Here is a 22,942-nt window from a genome sequence, read left to right as displayed (position 1 = left end):
TGGAGGTTCATTGAATTATTCTCCTTACATTTATTTTTGTTTAAAATACTCTATTATAAAAGTTGAAAAAATGAAAGAATAAAAAAAGGAAGGAAAGGAAGAGTAAAAAGGACTCAGTAAGAATCACACACACACACACACACACACACACACACACACACACACATACATACACACACACGCACACAGAAAGGGGACTTTTTGACCATGGGGCTGATCGGGAGATAGGCAATGGGTTTCCATGGAAGAAGCTGGAAACTGTCATTCTCAGCAAACTAACACGGGAACGGAAAACCAAACACCGCATGTTCTCACTCATAAGTGGGAGTTGAACAACGAGAACATATGGGCACAGGGAGGGGAACGTCACACGCCGGGGCCTGTTGGGGGGTGGAGGGCAGAAGGAGGGATAGCATTAGGAGAAATATCTAATGTAGATGATGGGTTGATGGGTGCAGCAAACTACCATGGCAGATGTATACCTATGTAACAAACCTGAACATTCTGCACATGCATCCCAGAACTTAAAGTATAATAAAAAATAATATGAAGCAAAAAAAAAAAAAAGGAACGTGAATAAAACATCCTCTTCAGAGACACACGAGAGGGGTGGACCCTGGGAACGTGAGATAGGAGAGAAAAAGTAGAAGGATTTAGTCTTGCATGGGCTCAGAGAAGCAGACAGCACAGTCATCAGCTGAAGTGCAGGGAGTGGTTATATCTGGGAGCTTAAGGAGAGCAGATTCAGAGAATCCACTGTCAGGACAGCAATAGTCTGTCAATTAGGGCTGGAAAAGAAGGATTAAGAAACAGCACTGGGGGCTCCTGCTGTGGTGAGGCCGTGTGGACTGGAGATAGATGCAGGCAGCACAGTTATGACTTCAGCACCAAGCCCTAAAGTTAGCAAAGGAGAGTAGAGAAAACAGCAAATTTTTCCCACTGTTTTTATTCTGAACAACTTTTCCATTTCCTCTGTGTTCCTAGTATTTAGGCTGAACTGTAAAATTTGTCAGTAGTATATACTGACTCAAGAAATAGCTACAATTCTCTGAGTGCTTACTATGTGCCAGGCACTGTGCTAACTGCATTGTGAGGATTAACTTGTTGAATCCTTACAATGGTATGAGATGTGATATCAACCTCAGGAATAAATTCAAGACCTCCTGTATGCCTGGCATTGAGCACATTGAGTGTACAGAGGTAAATAAGACATTTATGAACTTCTGTTTTTATAGAGCTTGCCATCTAATAAGAGTGATGAAGTAATCACAGAAAAATGTATATTTAATTATATTTGTGATAATTGTTGTAAAAGTGAAATACAAAGTGCTATGAGAGTGAACAATAAGAAGACGACTTTCTCCAAGGTTTCCCTGAGAAAATAATATTGATGGAGACCTGAAGCATGAATATCAGTAAATGGGTAAAGTGGCTTGGGGGAAGAACGTTCTAGGCAGAGAGAATTGAAAGACCAGGGAGCTCAAGATCCCTGAGGTAAGACTGGTGAGGGTAGGGGCCAGCTCAGACACATTTAGAGTCCTTTTTAGGCTGTGGAACTTCAGTCTAAGGACCAGAGAAAGCCAAGGAAGAAAGTAACAATATCATATTTGTAATGGACAATAATCCGAGAAAGAGAGAGAAAACAAAGAGTGGGTGAAGTCTAAATATATTCAGGATGCAAACACAACCATCAGGACTTGAAGATTGACAGATTTAGGGGAGAGAAAGAGAGAGAGAGAGAGAGAGAGAGAGAGAGAGAGAGAAACAGATCTCAATAATGCCTCCCAAGTCTGGCATGGGAAAAGAACGTTCAGAATGGCTAAGTCCCATGTTGAAAGTCATGTAGGTGGCTAGGCAGTGAGAAAGGAGATTTTGAAGCCTAGGTTCTTAAGCAGTAGTTTCCATTATTGGCCATCAGTGAATACTTGTGAAATGCTTATGAGACCAACATTCCACAGTGTTTTCACTGAGCCTTTATTTCTTGAGGGAAATGACAGGCAAGCTCCTTTGAGGTGATCAATTCAAGACCCACAAATGACAGCATGCTATGGTGAATAGATAGTACTCAATTGTTTTTCTATTGAGTTGGCCTGCAGCAAATGAATCATGGTTCGTGTTGAAAACAAGCACCTTCATCCATGCAGAACAAGCAGCCTCGTGTGGTGGTACGGTTAGAGTTTAAAAACTCTAGTTTGAATCCTGACTTTTCTTTTAGCCAACTTATATGCTAAGATAAGATACAAGTTGTTGAGAAGAGCCAAAGATTTAGCTACATAACAAAGTGAACCAAGATCCAAAACTTGAGTGAGGTAGTCTGGAATTTCCAGGTTGGTCTATGCATAGAGCTAGCTGATGAAACAAATCAGGGATTAACATACAAATGAATTTCTAATGTGCCTACTATAAGCCACATACTGCAAATACTGAAAATTCCTAGAGCATACATTATCCTAAAATTCATGCAAAAATGACCCACCTATTCCTTGAACTTTCTCATTATCTTACCTATTGAGCTGAATAGAACACAAGAAATAATCCAATTTAATCCTCTCACATTACAGATAGGAAAACAGACATCTGCAGACAGAAATGATTTCCCCAAGAACACATAGCAAGTTAATAAGAGAACAGGGACTAAGTTTCTGGTTTCTTAGACTCCTACATCAGTGTTCTTTCTGGTAGACCAGGCGATTCCTTATAGTGTATGGTTGCCTAGTGGTGTACCCAAAGTAATATTCCTAAAAACAATTTATTCATGTGAAAAACATATATTGAATAGCTAATTTATGTCAAACACTATTTTACCAGCTCAGCAAACAATAATGAATAAAACAGACAAATATTCTTGCCTTCATAGAGTTTATATTTTAGTAGAAGAGGCAATAAACAAGATGCATAGGTATAGTCTAGATTATGTTAGACAGTGATATATTTTATGGACCAAAATTACACAAGTGAAGTAATTACACAAAGTGAAGACATAAGATAAGGGGATATAAAGTGTTAGGAATAGAGTGACATTTTAGACAGATTGAAATTTTAGATAGAGTAGCCAAGAATACCTCATTGTGAAGATATATTTTGAGTAAAATCCCAAAGGAAAAGAGGGAGCCAGCCATGCAGACATCTAGAGAGAGTATTCCAGACAGAAGGAAAATGAGAAAAAGGGCTCAGAAGTGCAGGCAAGTATGGGGTGTTGGGGAACAGAAGGAAGTTTGTGTGGGTGACCTGGAGAGAATGAAGGGGAAAGGATCAAGATATGAGGTCTGAGTGAATATAGGGTCCAGCCCATGCATGGCCCTGTAAGCCAGAATAAGGACTTGGGTTTTAATTTTTGTTACAATAAAAAGTAATGGGGAGGGGGACTAAGGGCCACTGGTCAACCTAGTATATAGAAAAGAGGCTAAAGGGGGTAAGGGCAGGAGTTCAGGGGCCAGGTAGGCAACCACTGCAATAATCAAAGAAAAAGCTGATGATGGTTTGGAATAGAGTGGTAGCAGTGGGGTTGATGAAAAGTTGAATTCTGGTTATATTTTGAAGGAAGAGCAAATGGGATTTGTGGAAAGGCTGGATGTAGGAAATGAGAGAGGCATCAAGGAGCACAACAAGGCAACCAGAAGGATGAAACTGCCATTAATAAAGCATGCTTTGGGGGGTGGGGAAATTTTATGAGCTCATTTTTAGACATATATTTAATTTAAAATGCCTATTAAACATTCAGGTGGAGAGGTCAGGTAGGAAGTTAACTATGAGTCTAGAGATTAGGGAAAAAATTCAGTCTAGGGCTGTGCATTTGGCTGCATATGGATGGTATTTAAAGTAATGAGACTGGCTGAGATAACTAAGGAGAGAGCACAGATGTAAAAGACAAGCAGGTTGAGGACTGAGCCCCAGAGCACTTCAACACTCAGATGTCAGGGAGATGCAGATCATCCAGCAAAAGAGACAAAGAAAGCACTCAGAAGTGTGGGTGGAAACCAGGTAAGTGTGGCATCCTGGAAAGCAAAGGAAGAAAGTGTTTCAATCCCCTTATCAAATGCTCCTGGTAGGAAAAAGGTAAGCTTAGGTCTGAGAAATGTCCATGGATTTAACAACATAAAAGTCATTGTTAATCTTAATGAGAAGAGTTTTGCAAGATGGTTGAGAAGAAAAAATAAACCTGATTGGTGTGAGCTGAAGACAGAATAGAAAGAAAGTGAAGACAGAGAGTTTAGATACCTCTTTCAGGGGGTGCTGCTATAAGGAGAAACAGAGTAAATAAGTCACTGATGATGGGGAAGATAGGAGTAATAACAGCTTGTCTGTATGCTGCTGGAAGTGATCCAATTGAAGGGGGAGGGAAGAGTACAGAAAGTTTTGCTGGAATAAAGCCATTAGGTAGGTGAGAGGCTCATGATGTTCTTTTCCAATTCTTCATTCCTGTCAAGTGGGAAGCAAGGTCAGAGGCTGTGAGTGAAGATGAGGGAGAAGGTGTTGAGGTTTGAGAAGAAAGGGAAAGTGTGAAATAATTATCTGGGAGAGTGGGAAAGAGAACAAACTTGGGAAATACAGTATGATTGTATTAAGAACACACTTATTGATCACAAATTTAAAGAGAAATCAGAAATTTGGTTGGAGGTTATTTTCTGGCTCTTTGTGTTGTACATGTTCTGCCCCTGAGTGGATGAGGAGTTAAATTGATTTAGGATTGTAGTGTAGGTAAGTAAATATGATGCATTTTAGTGTTCAGGACACAGGGAAGGAAATGAAAGACTGTCAAGGAGAATTATTATGATGGTTGATCATGTGATTTAAGCTGGATAAAGTGAGGCCATAGCACAAAGGACTAAGGACAGTATAATGGTGATAGGACCCAAGAGAATTGGGTTCAGAGAGCTTCTGGATAGACAGATGAACATGTGGAGGCTTCTGGAGGGTGGCATACCCAGGGAGTGCATGGAAGCTCCATGCCCCTGCTCCATACCTTGCCCTATATGTATTTTCATCTGTATCTTTTGCAATATCCTTTATAATAAACCAGTAAGAGTAACAAGATGGATCAACGGATTGAAAATACGATGGGGGACAGGCATGGTGGCTCGCACCTGTAATCCCAGCACTTTGGGAGGCTGAGGTGGGCAGACCATTTGAGGTCGGGAATTTGAGACCAGCCTGGCCAACATGATGAGACCTTGTCTCTACTAAAAATACAAAAATTAGCCAGGCGTAGTGGCATGTGCCTGTAATCCCAGCTACTCAGGAGGCTAAGGCAGGAGAATTGCTTGAACTCAGGAGATGGAGGCGGCAGTGAGCTGAGGTTGCTCCACTGCACTCCAGCCTGGGTGACAGAGTGAGACTCTGTTTCAACAACAACAACAAAAAAGAAAAAGATAATACAGGTGGGGTCAAAAGTTTGCTGGAGATAGGGAGTCCAGGGAATGAATGGGAAATATAGGAGGTGATAGGTTGGCTTGAAGTTGATATTTTGGAAGATTTGAAATAATAGGACCTGGCCAACCACGGTGGCTCACATCTATAATTCCAGCACTTTGGGAGGCCGAGGTGGGTGGATCATTTGAGGTCAAGAAGTTCAAGACCAGTTTGCCAACATGGCGAAACTTCATCTCTACTAAAAAATACAAAAATTAGCCTGGCGTGCTGGTGGGCCCCTGTAATCCCAGCTACTTGTGGGGCTGAGGCAGGAGAATTTCTTGAACCCGGGAGGTTGCAGTGAGCCGAGATTGCGTCACTGCACTGCAGCCTGGGCAACAGAGTGAGACTTTGTCAAAAAACACAAAAACCCAGAAAAAGGAAATAATAGGACCTGATGAAGCCTAGGTTATGACTACAAGAATGAGTAGATGAGGAAGGACAGGCCTATGAGAAGAAAAGAGGTTAAGAAATTGGGGTGCCATAGTGCTGGGATGACAGTTCCCTATGGTGACTGGGCACTGTTCAGCACTGGAGATCCTGGGACACTAGAATTAGAATGGCATACCTTACCAGACAATCTGTATTCCCTCCAGAGCAAGGACCACTTAGTACTATCTTTTAAAAAATGGAATGGTTTACTTTGCCATCCATAGACAATTGTTATCTTGTTTTGATCCTCTTTAAATGATATTTTTATAATCAGCTATGAAACTCTAACAGGTGCTCTTAAATGCATGTTTCTGATTGATAACTCTGGAGATTTGGCTTTTCACTTAAAATGTTGCTGATCCTTTGTTTTGTTTTTCAGAGTCAAGGAAACTTTTCTTTTGAGCTATTTACAGTTTTTAGCAATTGAGTAAAGTATACTCCTGTGAACAAAATTTGGAGCATATTTGTTTCTCTCTACCTGTTTTCTCCAGAATTTTGAAAGTATCTGTGAGTATTCTTAATTTACAGCAATGGTTATTTGCATAAGTGCAATAAGAATGTGTTTTCTCTTGCAACAGGACACAGAGAAACTGGTTATTTTACCAAGACTTTAACTGGAATGGCGTGCTTTCCTTTAAGGAATCAAACTTAGAGTCAATAAAAGCCCTTTGGGAAAATAGGCCTCATACTTTGTCTACAGAGTCCGTGTACAGGGGTTCTGATCTGTGGTAAGTAAAGAATGTTACTTTCTGACTGGCCCAGAAGCCCCAAGTTACCTTGGGACCTCGAGAGGAGAGAAATTTATTCAACTCATAGGTATTTGAGGGCATAAGCTCATAGCTGGGATTGGCTTTCAAAAAGTCTCATCTGACATTCCTTCTATGGACCAGAGTTCCAATGAAGCCAATTTAAAAAGCCTATGTGAAAAATAATTATTCTTGCTGCACTTTATACAAATAATTAGGCCAAGTATAAAGCTAAAACTTATTTGGCAACCAAATCAATCTTACCATGATTTGCCTTTAGTAAAAATGGGAGAGTGGAAAGAGAAAAATTAGGTTTCAAAAACTATGGTATACCTGTTCTTAAATTCTAGTCTCATCAGTTGTTTTTGAGGTTTCTTTTTTCGGCAATTTAGACTAACCCTGCTCATTCCTGTAAACCAACTAGTGATCTCTAGCTGCTGCTCAGAAGAAACAAGAGGAATAAGTAATGTAAAAATTTGGATCAATATTCTAATTCTGGGCATGTACTGGAATTAGCTAGCAACCTCATAGAAGCTTGGTTCCAACAACTGCCCAGTTCATGGAAAGCCTTCTAATTCGGTTTACTTGGAATAATTTTGCTTATTTTGCTTTGCTCTTGTGAAATATATTGCAGCTGTACTCTTCAAGTAGAAATGCAAAATAAAATTACTAAATGTTTTCTTAAATTGAACACTTATTAATCTTCCAGATATCACCTTTTGTTTGAACTCAGAGTTATGATTGGCTCTCACCATACTGATGCTTTCTGACATGCGTCTTATATTCAGGGTAGAGAGGAGCTCAGTCAGATATTCCAGTCAAAGCCTTGGTAAAATTGTTTTACCAAGGCATTCACCCCTATTCATCATGAAGAAGTTACAAAAGATGGATCTTTGTCCCTTTACAACCCTTAGGATTAAGGGTTCTCTTATAAAAGGGAGGGGGGCAGGAAATGTCAGAGGCATTTGAACCAGAGCAACTGCATCTTGAATAGGGGCTGGGTAAAATAAGCCTGAGAACTGCATTCTCAGGAGATTAAGGCATTCTTAGTCACAGGATGAGACAGGAGGTTGGCGCAAGATACAGGTCATAAAGACTTTGCTGACAAAACAGCTTGCAATAAACAAGCCAGCTAAAACTCACCAAAACCAAGACTGTGAGGAGAGTGACCTTTGGTCATCCTCACTGCTATGTTTCCACCAGCATGATGACAGTTTACAAATGGCATAGCAATGCCAGAAACTTATGCTATATGGTCTGAAAAGGGAAGGAATCCTCAGTTCCGGAAATTGCCCACCTCTTTCCTGGAAAACTCATGAATAATCCACCCCTTGTTAAGCATATAATCAATAAATAACTGTAAAAATGGGCAACGAGTAGTCCTCTGGGCTGCTCTGCTTATGGAGTAGTCATTCTTTATTCCTTTACTTTCTTAATAAACTTGCTTTCACTTTTAAAAAAACGTCCTGGAGCAGTGGCTTTTGCCTGTAACTCCAGCACTTGCGGGGCTGAGGCAGGTGGATCACCTGAGGTCAGGAGTTCAAGACCAACCTAACCAACATGGCGAAACCCAGTCTCTACTAAAAATACAAAAATTAGCCGAGTGTGGTGGTGGGTGCCTGTAGTCCCACTACTCAGGAGGCTGAGGCAGGAGAATCGCTTGAACCCGGGAAGTGGAAGATGCAATGAGCTGGGATTGCACCACTGCACTCCAGCCTGGGCAACAGAGCGAGAGTCTGTCAAAAAAAAAAAAAAAAAAAAGAGGAATGGTTTGTATGTTCAGGTCTGGGGCATACATTCCTACTATTTACTAATAGCCATTTCCCCTCCATTTCCAGAAAAATGGAGAATTGCACATATATTTTTGTCTTCCTGAAATTAAGCATGGCCGTGTGAATTGCTTTGGCTAATGAAATGTAAGAGTGATGGGGTCAGTAGACGGGCACACTTATTTGCTCAAGTTTGTTCTGCCAAGCTTGCTCTTCTCCTGTCATTTTGAGCTTGGAAGCACATGTTGACATGGAAGTTATTGTCACATGTATTTGACCATGGCATGGAGGCCAGCTACTTTGGAGACCCAGCTACACTTGCAATGAACTTTACATGAGCAAGAAATAGATCTCTGTTGAGATTTGGGTGTGATTTTTCAGTGTAGCATAACCTAGGCTAGATTGGCTGATATTTGCAGCACTCTTTAGCTAGCCCTGTGCCAGTTGTTGAGGATACAGAGGAAAACAAATCATTGTGTGTGCCCTTGACATGGCAGGGAGTGAGAAACAAGATGGCAGAGGAGAAGTCTTATATCAGGAGCAATGAAAAAGAGAGCAGCTGCAAAGGGGCCATGGGAAGGTTTTGGAGATAGGTTTTGCATTTCAAGTTTTCTCTCCTTTGCTTGGCATTTGGAGCCCTCCACAATTAGGTCTTATTCTCATTTTTTCTGACTCTTCATTTTAGTTCCTGGGCTCCTCCATGCAACAAATATGTATTGACTGTCAGGTACTGTGCCAAAAGTTAAATGCAGCAGTAAATGAAGCAGACAACCCCTGTCCTCATGGGACTGACAGTTTAGTGGAAAAAGATGTTAAATTAATTTCCCACCAGAGTGAGTGTTATGAAGGAGCAACGTACCAAAGGGAACCTAATCTGGATTCACCCAGGAAATGAGCAGCAGAAACGGAGGAAATGATTTCAGCTGGAGGAGACCGATTTTTGTTTAAGTGTCCTTATGTGAAAAACAATATGTCCTGCTCAGGACTCTGAGGTTGGTCTGTAGAGCTAAGGAGAAAGTTGAAGGCAGTGAGTGGCTGAAGGTGAAGCTATAGGGATAAGTGTGGGCAAAGGCTAGTCACTGAACGCTTTGACACCAGGCCAGCCAAGGATTGTGCATCTCACTCCCAGAGAAAATGGAAAGCAATCTAAAACTCATATCTTAGAAAATAAAATGCTCAAATTTCTATTTTGAAGATTGTTCTATCAATAGAGTTCAGAATGGATTTTAAAGATATAATGTAAATACAGATAGAACTGTAAGGAAACTTCAGCTATTGGCAGATAAGAGAAGGTGGTGGCTTGGAAAGGATGCTTAAAAGGAGGCTTGATAGAAGAGGGCAGCTTCAAAACATGTTTTGAAAACAAGTTTCAGTTGAACATGTGATTATGGTTAATAAATCACAACCTCATCATATGGAGGTTAGGGAAAGGAAAGCTCCAAGGATAATTCCAATTACCTAAACCACCAAAGGTACAGTAGTGCCACTGCTGATAAAGTAAGCTCATTCTAGGTAGCTGTGGAAGAGGAAATTAAATTTGAGGCATGAGAAATCTAAAGGATCTATGTGCACCCATCTCTTAGGATAGATCCTTCTGTACTTTGTGTTTGTATCGAAGATTGTTCAGTTGCCTCTGCTTGACTGTTAAAGCTGTGAGAGCAGAAACGATGTCTGATTCATTCATGTCATACACCAATCCTCTACCTCCAGGGTCTCAGGGATGAGCTTTGCATGGAAAAAGCACAAGGACCTGCTCACCCAGTGAGTAAATGTGGCAAATCTGGTTTGTTGAGCCCAGGCTGGAAGAAGCTGTTCACTTTGCCTTCACTCCAGGTCTCACTGCTGGGTTCCTGGTCCCACATCATTGTGGCTTCTTTGCAAATTGTACCCAGATTTGGTTCACCTGAGGTGAGCACACAATAAGTGGTTATTTCTCATCCATCTGAACTATTTGTGCTGTTCTGATCTGAGGGATTGTCCTGAAACAGGCATTAAAAAAATCTGTCTCCTTGGGAGATTTCAGATACATTCTGTTTCAACAAGCTGGAAGTATCTGGAGTCAGAATTTTTTCTGACAGCAACTTTACCCAATATACCCTTTGTCTCCTTAAGACCTTAGTATAACTAAGTCAAAATGAAGACATTTATCATTACTTTTGCAATGTAGTTTATGAGCTTCAGAATGGACAGATGTCCTTTTTAAAACCACATATGCACCAAAGGATGACTGAAATATTACCATTAATACGCTATTCTTCAGCTTAAGCCTTTGGTTTCTGCTAAAAGGTAAATCCATCTTGCCTCCCCTCCAATCTTTCCTCTCAAAAATGCTGGGATCATGCTCGAGCTATTTGCATTTATTTACACTTGAGTTCAAATAATATTTAAAATCTTTCTTGAGGGCAGGATTGCTTTAGGAAAGCCATTTGGTGTTCTAGCAAGGGCACTGGGGCTCGTAGTCAAAGTCTGGAGGCCTTTCAGTCTCTTACAGAATGTGCTTTGGGGAAATGAATGAATTATTCGAGGCTCAATTTTGTTATCTGGGAATCGGACATTCTCATCCCCACTCTGCATATCTATAACAAACTTTAATAGAGAGTTCCAGAGTGTCTATCTAAATCATCAATTCTCCTTTACTTTAATAAATGTCCTCCCATTTTCCCCCAGCCAAGAAGGAAAGCTCAAGCAGCATGTATCATCTAAGTGACTCACCAGCCAAACTTGAGCAGATGGAGGTAGCCCCCAAATCTAGTTGAACCAATTCTATTCTCTCTTCCAGAGCTTCAGAATTGTGATTTAAAGGTGACAGCTCATCTGCTCTGGTGGCTGAAGCTGGACTTTGCCAATCGGGGAGCCACAGGATGTCCTTAGTCTTTTTGAGTCAACTAAGGAGTGCCCAAATCTGATTTTCAGGGAGAGGGAAAGAAGCAGAGGTGCCAATGGGAGCAAGGATTGGAAACTAAGCATGCATGCTGGGTTACTGCTCACATTCCAGATCTTTATTTCTGATTTCCCCATGGTCTAGGAGTGACATTCCTGGCCTTGGGCTTTCTCAGGAATTCTTGTATTCTTATAATAATTTCCTTATTTTTGCCTAATCTAGCACAGGGTGATTTCTATTTGTTACAAGCAAAATGGCCTTATCAAATTAATACACTGGTGTAGAGAGCCAGTGGGATGGAGCGAAGGATGCCCTATCATCTTATGGAGTTGATTAGGCAGAAAAATAGCCAATTGGAAAGCCCGTTCATCATTGGTGGATTTCCATTCACTGATTTCGCTTAGGTTCCCAAATACCTGAAAATACTCAAATCTAATGGACATTTTTCACTCTGACTTTTTTGAGCTCTCTGCACATCTTACTCAATTCTTTCTTTTTTCCTACAACAGCATTTCTATTTGCTTTATACTTTAATATGTGTATGGCTTTAAGTTATAATTGATGTATAATAAACTGCACATATTTAAAGTGTATAATTTGATGAGTTTTGATATCTGTATATGTCTGTAAAACCATCACCACAATCAAGCCAATGAATATATCCATCACTTCTAAAAGTTCTCTATGGTTCTTTGAAATCTATCTGTCTCCCACCCCCCAACTCCTTCCAGGTTCCCTAGCAATCACTGATCTCCTTACTGTCATTATAGATTAATTTGCATTTTAAAGGATTTTATATGGACAGGATCATATAGTATGTGCTTTCCTCAGAAATCAGTCCTGCAATAAATATTATGCACTTGTGCTCTGGGAATACAGCCAAGAGCTAGGCTGTCACAATTCCTGCTATTATGGAGCTTCAGTCTACCAAGAAAGGCAAATAATGAATAAATAATTGCCATAAGGCCTGTTGTGTGATTTGATGAGAGGAGAAGCATCTGTGGAAGTCTACAGTAGGGAGAATCTAACTTAGGGACTTATGAGAGGGTCTAATAGGAGTTAGGCCAGTAAGGGGTGCAAAAATAGGGGTGGGGTCCAGGCAGAAGAAACAGAGCATGAGAAGGTTCAGAGGAAGGAGAAAATGTGGCCTATTTAAGGAACAGAAAGGGCAGTGTGGCTGGAGGCCTCCAGGGGAGGAGCAGTAGAGGAGGAGTGTGGAGAGGCAAGCCAGTTACTGGGATCTTATGGTTCAGATTCTCCTTCCTTTTTACTTCTGTGAAATTACCACCCCTTCTACCCTGGCCCTCATCCAATGTTTCCACTAGTACCTTGTCTTCTTTCATTTCTTTGCCAAGAAATGCTCTGCATTATGGTTGTGACAAAGGAAAAATAAAATTAGAAAAGGAATTGAATTACCCAGAGTCTTACAGCTAACTGGGGTCAAGGTGTAGTTACAACTCAGCTCTGCAAACTCCAAGGCGAATACTTCTGCACACCTAGAGGGTAGAATAGAACATCAATTACCCACTGCTTTTGAGCACCTGACACCACAGCGGACCCAGGCATCATGGTAGAAATCAAGAAGTGTAGTTTTGTCAACTGTCAAAGACAGGATTGAAAGAAGCATTCATTGACACACAGACAACCCCATGCTACTTAGCACTTGATTACCTACTGGCAGTAAAGCCTGTTTATGCCATCCCTCACATTTTTCTTAAATTTAACGAAGTAATTAATGCTATAAAAAGCTATGAAAATATAAATGTAAGAAAGCATGTTGCATAATTAATAATATATGCATATGCATAGCAGGGTGTTTCTTTTTGGCATACATATGCATATGTCATTAATTGAAACATAATCACTTTGTTTTACTACCAGGGTATTGGTACAAACCATACTCACTGTATGTCAGCTCCCAGCCTGACTCCAGGGTTATATTACATTGATAACACAGGAGAACCAGCAGAAGGGACAAGGGGCAAAGTGTGGGGCCAGAGAACTGGGAAACTGGCTGGCTTCTAGACTCAGTTGTGCATTAACTCACTATGTAAGTTCAGTTATTTTTTCTCTGAGCTTCAGTTTCTCTGTAAAGTTGAAGGTTGGACTACATTGGTTGTTTACATAAATAAAAACAGCATATCTCTTTAAAAAAATCTTAAAGGAAACTGATATATAAAGTTTGGAGTAGGGCTTTTGTCTAGTTCAATGCTCTCCTACTCCATGCTCATCCTGTGCTCCTCAACCCTCTCTTATTTAGTTTGAAACATCCTGGAAAACTCTCTGCAGTAATTTTTTCCCCTTACAGAAATACCAGTTACAGGCCTATGATATATTAGGCCACCTAACACAGTGTGAAATACTCGCTAGGAACTCAAGGAACTTGGTTTCACATGTGGGCTCTGTCCCCATTAGCAGTATGACCTCACACCAGGCTCCTACTCAACTTGTATGTCTTGCACTTCTCATCTATCAAGAAAGAGGGTAATCCTTGTCCTCCTTTATCATACAGAGGTATTAAATATTTTATATCAAAATGCTCTGAATGTAAAGTGTACAGTAAGAAGACAAAAACACTCTTTTTCTAAGGGTCAAGGATGTAGACACTGAACCCAATTGCTCTGCCACTTACTAACTGTGTGACCCTGATAAGTTACTAACCTTTCTGTGTGGCGGTTTCCTTATCTGTAAAATGGACATCGTAATATTGTCTATGTATAAGTTGTCAGATTGATTAAGCTATTACACTTAAAGGCAGTGTTTACACGCAATTAATGTGTATCATTAGTATTGTACTATTTTTATTGTCATTATCATTGGTGGAAAGCAACAGGTCACTGAGGGTGAGGAGGCCTGGATTCTAACCTTAAACCTGCTACTCCCTAAATGTGAGTCTGAATCAAATGAAAAGGCCCACATCAGAGAATTCGGCAGGTCACATGGGAAGAGAGACCAGAGGAAATGTTGATATTGAAATGCTTCCAGAAATTAGCACATATTTACAAATATCGAGTTTAGTTATGTCTTCCAAAGACTAACCTAAATAAAACAACAGTATTGAAAAATGATCCTGTGAGTTAAATGGAGTTTTAACAGGACATTCAAATTTCCTCTCTCAGTTTTGGCTGAGGCATGAAGAAAATAGATGTTAGATTTTAAAATAGGACTATCATACAGGATTTGCAAAAAGGAGATGGCAGATAAATCATTTACCACCTGAGTCACCCACCCACCTCATGCTATGCAGTTGGAGAGTCTGAGAAGAGACTGAGAGGATGTTGGGAGAAAAATGCCAGTGTGCTGTGAGTCTTCCTGCCATGGCGAGGCTTGGGCAGGAGCCTGCCACTCACCTAGGTAGAAGGCCTTTGAGACTATTTTCTACTAAGTTTCTCTTTATGTTGTAGTCTGAGGAATGGAGAGTAGGGGTGGGAAAATTTTAGTAGAGGAATAGGCTGGTCATCATTCCTGAGAAAGTGGCTGACCAGAGCAAAGTGGAGGTTATGAAGGTGGGGATCAAACAGTGTTCTCAGAGCGAGGCTCTCAGTGCAAAGATCCCTAAGCAATTCTAGTGAATCAGATGTGGGCTACATGTGCTAGATCCTGGAAAGGCATCATTTTAGGCATTTCCAGGAGGACCTCCTGAAAATAAAAAGGTCTCACCTAAAAGAGGCTGGCGATGTACTGCCCAATTCCCAGGGACTCAGCAGGAGTTGCAAGTAATGAGGCAAAAGAAAGATACATAAGCCCCCTTCAAGGGAGCTGTGGATGCCAGCCACTCACTGATAAAACCTTTCTGGAAACCCCCCTCAAAGTAGACAGTCAAGTGTAAACAGCTCCCAAGGCTAAGGAATGCAACGTCAGTGCATGACAATGTCAGTCAAGCCAGAACTTTCCTGTTCCACTCCGCCCTACACCTGCAATCCTGAAGAGACTGGAAATCTTGGCTAGCAAAATGGAGGAAGGGTTGAAGCACAAGATGGGGAAAGAGATTAGAAGTCATATATAATCTGTACTCCTGTCAATCATTTGCAAGTTTTCACCTATAAAGTGTACAAATTAGGTATTCAGAGAAGTTTTCCTATTAAATTTAAAGTTCTGACTACCATACCATGTAGGACTAGATATTTCATTCTCTGGATTAAGCTGTACATATTACCTCAAAAAAGCCATGAGGCCACTATGGGCAGTGAGGAGCTAATAGCACTATTTAAAAAGACAGAATGAGACAAAAGCACAGTGCATCATAACATTTCTCAGATCATACTTAACAAATTAATTGTTATCAGGTGCTAAACTACATATTATGAAAATCAGATCTTTTACACAAAAGATGGAGAAATTTGTTGTTCTTGTGTTAAACTGAGAAAGATGAAATTCGTTTCAGCCCATAAGCTGTGTAAATCAAAAGGTTGCAACCAAGATGTTTAGATCTCAGAATTAACTTGTGATCTCAGGGTTATTCTGGGACAGAGCTAGCCTCACATATAGGTTAAATAGTTTACTATCCAAATTCTGTAACTGTAGAGGGATTTGAGGCTTCCACCATATCCTCTACCATTTTCTTAAAAGTAGATATACTTAATATTTCATTTGATGCTCACGATTATTCTTTTTGCTTCAAAACTTTGGTTTCTGCAGCAATTAATATCCCATAGTCATACTTTGTCATCTTTAGTCACTTACACCTCAGCCTAACTTGGCAGGAAGCATTTTTGAATACTAGCTTTGGAAGGGGAAGTGGATGGCTTCTGTGTGCTTGGGGTAGTCAAGGAGGAAATGCTCTGAAGTCAACATTTGCCATTGTCCAACTGACTTAGCTATGCTCTGGGTCCCAGAAATGTCCATTATTTCCTCTTCTATTATTTGAATTTCTTTAAACCATGACAGAGAAGAGAAGTTGAGTTTAACAATTCTGTTAGCACATTGGAATATCAGAAGAAAACCTAAGGGTCATCCAGAATTGGGAAAGTAACTACATTTCACTTTGCATGTCAACTCCCAACATGGTACTGTCAGGCCTCTGAGCCCAAGCCAAGCTATCGCATCCTCTGTGACTTGCACGTATATGCCCAGATGGCCTGAAGTAACTGAAGAATCACAAAAGAAGTGAATGTGTCCTGCCCCAACTTAACTGATGACATTCCACCACAAAAGAAGTCTAAATGGCCGGTCCTTGCCTTAACTGATGACATTACCTTGTGAAAGTCCTTTTCCTGGCTCATCCTGGCTCAAAAAGCACCCCCACTGAGCACCTTGCGACCCCCACTCCTGCCCACCAGAGAACAAACCCCCTTTGACTGTAATTTTCCTTTACCTACCCAAATCCTGTAAAACGGCCTCATCCTTATCTCCCTTTGCTGACTCTCTTTTTGGACTCAGCCCGCCTGCACCCAGGTGAAATAAACAGCCATGTTGCTCACACAAAGCCTGTTTGGTGGTCTCTTCACACGGACGCGCATGAAATTTGGTGCCTAAATTTGGTGCCATGACTCGGATCGGGGGACCTCCCTTGGGTGATCAATCCCCCGTACTCCTGTTCTTTGCTCCGTGAGAAAGATCCATCTATGACCTCAGGCCCTCAGACCGACCAGCCCAAGGAACATCTCACCAATTTTAAATCAGGTAAGCGGCCTCTTCTTACTCTCTTCTCCAACCTCTCTCACCGTCCCTCAACCACTTTCTCCTTTCCACTCTTCAATCTCCCCCTTCTCTTAATTTCAATTCCTTTCATTTTCTGGGAGAGACAAAGGAGACATGTTTTATCCGTGGACCCAAAACTCCGGCGCCGGTCACGGACTGGGAAGGCAGCCTTCCCTTGGTGTTTAATCATTGCAAGGATGCTTCTCTGATTATACACTCACGTTTCAAGGGTGTCAGACCACACAGGGACGCCTGCCTTAGTCCTTCACACTTAGCGGCAAGTCCCGCTTTTCTGGGGGAGGGGCAAGTACCCCAACCCCTTCTCTGTCTCTACCCCTTCTCTGCTTTCCTGGGGCAGGGGCAAGTACCCTTCAACCCCTTCTCCTTCACCCTTAGCGGCAAGTCCCACTTTCCTAGGGAGCAAGAATCCCCCAATCGCTTATTTCCAAACCCCAACCTATATCTCTGCACCCCAATCCCTTATTTCCGCACCCTGACCTCTTATCTCTGTGCCCCAATCCCTTATTTCCGTGCCCCAACCCCTTCTCTGCTTTTCTGGAGGGCAAGAACCCCCCACCCCTTCTCCATGTCTCTACTCTTTTCTCTGGGCTTGCCTCCTTCACTATAGGTAAGCTTCCACCTTCCATTCCTCCTTCTTCTCCCTTAGCCTGTGTTCTCAAAAACTTAAAACCTCTTCAACTCACACCTGATCTAAAACCTAAATGCCTTATTTTCTTCTGCAATGCCGCTTGACCCCAATACAAACTGGACAGTAGTTCCAAATAGCCGGAAAATGGCACTTTCAATTTTTCCATCCTACAAGATCTAAATAATTCTTGTCGTAAAATGGGCAAATGGTCTGAGGTGCCTGACATCCAGGCATTCTTTTACACATCAGTCCCTTCCTAGTATCTATGCCCAGTGCAACTCGTCCCAAATCTTCCTTCTTTCCCTCCCGCCTGTCCCCTCAGTCCCAACCCCAAGCATCGCTGAGTCTTTCTAATCTTCCTTTTCTACAGACCCATCTGACCTCTCCCCTCCTCACCAGCCCAAGCTAGGTCCCAATTCTTCCTCAGCCTCCGCTCCTCCACCCTGTAATCTTTTCATCACCTCCCCTCCTCACACCTGGTCTGGCTTACAGTTTCCTTCTGTGACTAGCCCTCCCCCACCTGCCCAGCAATTTACTCTTAAAAAGGTGGCTGGAGCCAAAGGCATAGTCAAGATTAATGCTCCTTTTTCTTTATCCCAAATCAGATAGCGTTTAGGCTCTTTTTCATCAAATATAAAAATCCAGCCCAGTTCATGGCTCATTTGGCAGCAACCCTGAGACGCTTTACAGCCCTAGAACCTAAAAGGTCAAAAGGTCATCTTATTCTCAATATTCATTTTATTACCCAATCTGCTCCTGACATTAAATAAAACTCCAAAAATTGGAATCTGGCCCTCAAACCCCACAACAGGACTTAATTAACCTCACCTTCAAGGTGTACAATAACAGAAAAAAGTTGCAATTCCTTGCCTCCACTGCGAGACAAACCCTAGCCACATCTCCAGCACACAAGAACTTCCAAACACCTGAACAGCAGCAGCCAGGCGTTCCTCCAGAACCTCCTCCCCCAGAAGCTTGCTACACGTGCCAGAAATCTGGCTACTGGGCCAAGGAATGCCCGCAGCCCGGGATTCCTCCTAAGCCGTATCCCATCTCTGGGGGACCCCACTGAAAATCGGACTGTTCAACTCACCTGGCAGCTACTCCCAGAGCCCCTGGAACTCTGGCCCAAGGATCTCTGACTGACTCCTTCCCAGATCTTCTCAGCTTAGCGGCTGAAGACTGACACTGCCCGATCGCCTTGGAAGCCCCCTAGACCATCACGGACGCCGAGCTTCAGGTAACTCTCACAGTGGAAGGTAAGCCCGTCCCCTTCTTAATCAATACGGAGGCCACCCACTCCACATTACCTTCTTTTCAAGGGCCTATTTCCCTTGCCTGCATAACTGTTGTGGGTATTGACAGCCAGGCTTCTAAACCTCTTAAAGCTCCCCAACTCTGGTGCCAACTTCGACAATACTCTTTTAAGCACTCCTCTTTAGTTATCCCCACCTGCCCAGTTCCCTTATTAGGCTGAGACACTTTAACTAAATTATCTCCTTCCCTGACTATTCCTGGACTACAGCTATATCTCATTGCCGCCCTTCTTCCCAATCCAAAGCCTCCTTTGCGTCCTCCTCTTTTATCCCCCCACCTTAACCCACAAGTATAAGATACCTCTACTCCCTCCTTGGCGACCGATCATGCACTTCTTACCATCTCATTAAAACCTAATCACCCTTACCCCACTCAACGCCAATATCCCATCCCGCAGCACGCTTTAAAAAGATTAAATTCTGTTATCACTCGCCTGCTACAGCATGGCCTTTTAAAGCCTATAAACTCTCCTTACAATTCTCCCATTTTACCTGTCCTAAAACCAGACAAGCCTTACAAGTTAGTTCAGGATCTGCGCCTTAGCAACCAAATTGTTTTGCCTATCCACCCTGTGGTGCCCAACCCATGCACTCTTTTGTCCTCAATACCTTCCTCCACAACTCACTATTCTGTGCTTGATCTTAAAGATGCTTTTTTCACTATTCCCCTGCACCCCTCATCCCAGCCTCTCTTTGCTTTCACTTAGACTGACCCTGACAGCCATTAGGCTCAGCAAATTACCTAGGCTGTACTGCTGCAAGGCTTCATAGACAGCCCCCATTACTTCAGTCAAGCCCAAATTTCATCCTCATCTGTTACCTATCTCGGCATAATTCTCATAAAAACATACGTGCTTTCCCTGCTGATCGTGTCCAATTAATCTCCCAAACCTCAATCCCTTACAAAACAACAACTCCTTTCCTTCCTAGGCATAGTTAGTGCGGTCAGAATTCTTACACAAGAGCCAGGACCGCACCCTGTAGCCTTTCTGTGCAAACAACTTGACCTTACTGTTTTAGCCTAGCCCTCATGTCTGCGTGCAGTGGCTGCTGCTGCTTTAATACTTTTAGAGGCCCTCAAAATCACAAACTATGCTCAACTCACTCTCTACAGTTCTCATAACTTCCAAAATCTATTTTCTTCCTCATACCTGATGCATATACTTTCTGCTTCCTGCCTCCTTCAGCTATACTCACTCTTTGTTGAGTCTCCCACAATTACCATTGTTCCTGGCCCGGACTTCAATCCAGCCTACCATATTATTCCTGATACCACACCTGACCCCCATGACTGTATCTCTCTGATCCACCTGACATTCACCACATTCCCCCAAATTTCCTTCTTTCCTGTTCCTCACCCTGATCACACTTGACTTATTGATGGCGGTTCCACCAGGCCTAATTGCCACACACCAGCAAAGGCAGGTTATACTATAGTTCAAGCCACTAGCCTGCCTCTTAGAACCTCTCATTTCCTTTCCATCATGGAAATCTATCCTCAAGGAAATAACTTTTCAGTGTTCCATCTGCTATTCTACTACTCCTCAGGGATTATTCAGGCCCCCTCCCTTCCCTACACATCAAGCTCAAGGATTTGCCCCCACCCAGGACTGGCAAATTAGCTTTACCCAACATGCCTGAGTCAGGAAACTAAAATACCTCTTAGTCTAAATAGACACTTTCACTGAATAAGTAAAGGCCTTTCCTACAGGGTCTGAGAAGGCCACCACAGTCATTTCTTCCCTTCTGTCAGACATAATTCCTCAGTTTAGCCTTCCAACCTCTATACAGTCTGATAACAGACGAGCCTTTATTAGTCAAATCAGCCAAGCAGTTTTTCAGGCTCTTAGTGTTCAGTGAAACCTTTATATCCCTTATGGTCCTCCGTCTTCAAGAAAAGTAGAATGGACTAAAAGTCTTTTAAAAACACACCTCACCAAGCTCAGCCACCAACTTAAAAAGGACTGGGCAATACTTTTACCACTTTCCCTTCTCAGAATTCAGGCCTGTCCTCGGAATGCTACAGGATACAGCGCATTTAAGCTCCTATATAGATGCTCCTTTTTATTAGGCCCCAGTCTCATTCCAGACACCAGACCAACTTAGACTGTGCCCCTCCCCCCCAAAAAAACTTGTCATCCCTACTATTTTCTGTCTAGTCATACTCCTATTCGCCGTTCTCAACTACTCATACATGCCCTGCTCTTGTTTACACTGCCAGTTTACACTGTTTCTCCAAGCCATCACAGCTGATATCTCCTGGTGCTATCCCCAACCTGCCACTCTTAACTCTTGAAGTAAATAAATAATCTTTGCTGGCAGGACTATGCCAAATCTCCTTAAGCACTCTCTAATCAGATATCCTGAGTCGTCCCAATTCTTAGACCTTTTATACCTGTTTTTCTCCTTCTGTTATTCCATTTAGTTTTTCAATTCATACAAAACCGTATCCAGGCCATCATCAATCATTCTATACGACAAATGTTTCTTCTAACATCCCCACAATATCACCCCTTACCACAAGACCTCCCTTCAGCTTAATCTCTCCCACTCTAGGTTCCCACGTCGCCCCTAATCCCGCTTGAAGCAGCCCTGAGAAACATCGCCCATTCTCTCTCCATACCACCCACCAAAAATTTTCGCCGCCCCAACAGTTCAACACTATTTTATTTTTCTTATTAATATAAGAAGGCAGGAATGTCAGGCCTCTGAGCCCAAGCCAAGCCATCGCATCCCCTGTGACTTGCACGTATATGCCCAGATGGCCTGAAGTAACTGAAGAATCACAAAAGAAGTGAATATGCCCTGCCCCACCTTAACTGATGGCATTCCACCACAAAAGAAGTCTAAATGGCCGGTCCTTGCCTTAACTGATGACATTACCTTGTGAAAGTCCTTTTCCTGGCTCATCCTGGCTCAAAAAGCACCCCCACTGAGCACCTTGCGACCCCCACTCCTGCCCACCAGAGAACAAACCCCCTTTGACTGTAATTTTCCTTTACCTACCCAAATCCTGTAAAACGGCCCCACCCTTATCTCCCTTCGCTGACTTTCTTTTTGGACTCAGCCCGCCTGCACCCAGGTGAAATAAACAGCCATGTTGCTCACACATAGCCTGTTTGGTGGTCTCTTCACACAGACGCGCATGAAAGGTACTGATAGCCTGCAGCATATGGCTAAAAATGACTATAAAGTCTGTCCTTACTGAGGGGATCATGATGACATCTATGGGTGAAAGCAGGAAAGGTAAGCCATCTCTTTTCCAATGTGGATCTCTGCAATCTGCACCCACCCAGGTTCTTCCCTTCTAACCTGCCTCTCTCCACAGCTGGGGCTATTTGACTTCCAGTTTCCTCCTCTGTAAAAGGGTGACAATAGTTCCTGTAGCATAGAATAATTGTGAAGTGCAAGAGAGCTAATGTGTATAAAGTGTTAACACACACACCTGGCCTATACTAAGGGCCCAATATTTGGTAGTTATCAAGTGTTTCCACAGCTTTACAAGATGAGATTTATTCCCATCTTTCAGGTAATTTAAAGATATTTAAAAAGGGTTCCAATTGACAATCACAACACCATACAGCTGTGAGTTACCAAATGAAGGTTTGTATCTAGATCTTTTCTGGCTCTGAACTCATGCCTTTTCTGCTATATCATTCTGCCTTCTAGTAACTGAAATCTGACTATTTAGATTATAGCCTTGGACCTAGGATCGAGTCACTTGCCTGTGATTTCTTGGATTATATGTCTGAATTCAGAAGCTTATCTGTTGCTGGAGCTCTCATTACTATTGATCCCTCTCCCCCAACTCCTCATATCTAAGCCTTCAGGGTTGACTTATGGGCTGGCCTAGGATCTGATGTCTGTCCCAATGACCTCAGGTACCCAACTCCTGCAAACAGACCTATCTTTCCAGCTGCTATGCCAGTCAGCAAATCTAGCTTACTCAGTCAGTGATTTTTTTTTTTTTATGGAGCCCTAACTATGTGCCAGGCATTATTCTATGCAAAAACAGTGAGCAAATGGTTACAGCCCATGCCCTAAATCTAATGTGAACAAAGTCACACAAATATCTAGCTATGAGCTTCGACAATCAATAC

At 42.2% G+C, this 22,942-nt stretch overlaps 2 annotated features.

Moving 5' to 3' along the window:
• Positions 14,806-15,379: an enhancer, noted in NCBI's record as "OCT4-NANOG hESC enhancer chr5:152835859-152836432 (GRCh37/hg19 assembly coordinates)". NCBI's record gives its function as "activates a minimal SCP1, AML or CMV promoter by ChIP-STARR-seq in primed H9 embryonic stem cells {active_cell/tissue: H9 hESC(primed)}" and the evidence as "EXISTENCE:reporter gene assay evidence [ECO:0000049][PMID:30033119]".
• Positions 21,095-21,955: an enhancer, noted in NCBI's record as "OCT4-NANOG hESC enhancer chr5:152829283-152830143 (GRCh37/hg19 assembly coordinates)". NCBI's record gives its function as "activates a minimal SCP1, AML or CMV promoter by ChIP-STARR-seq in primed H9 embryonic stem cells {active_cell/tissue: H9 hESC(primed)}" and the evidence as "EXISTENCE:reporter gene assay evidence [ECO:0000049][PMID:30033119]".

Source organism: Homo sapiens, chromosome 5 (assembly GCF_000001405.40).
Source record: "Homo sapiens chromosome 5, GRCh38.p14 Primary Assembly".
In the NCBI taxonomy this organism is placed as follows: Eukaryota; Metazoa; Chordata; class Mammalia; order Primates; family Hominidae; genus Homo; species Homo sapiens.
Note: the sequence above shows the minus strand (reverse complement) of the source record. Positions and strands in the feature narration are given on the sequence as shown.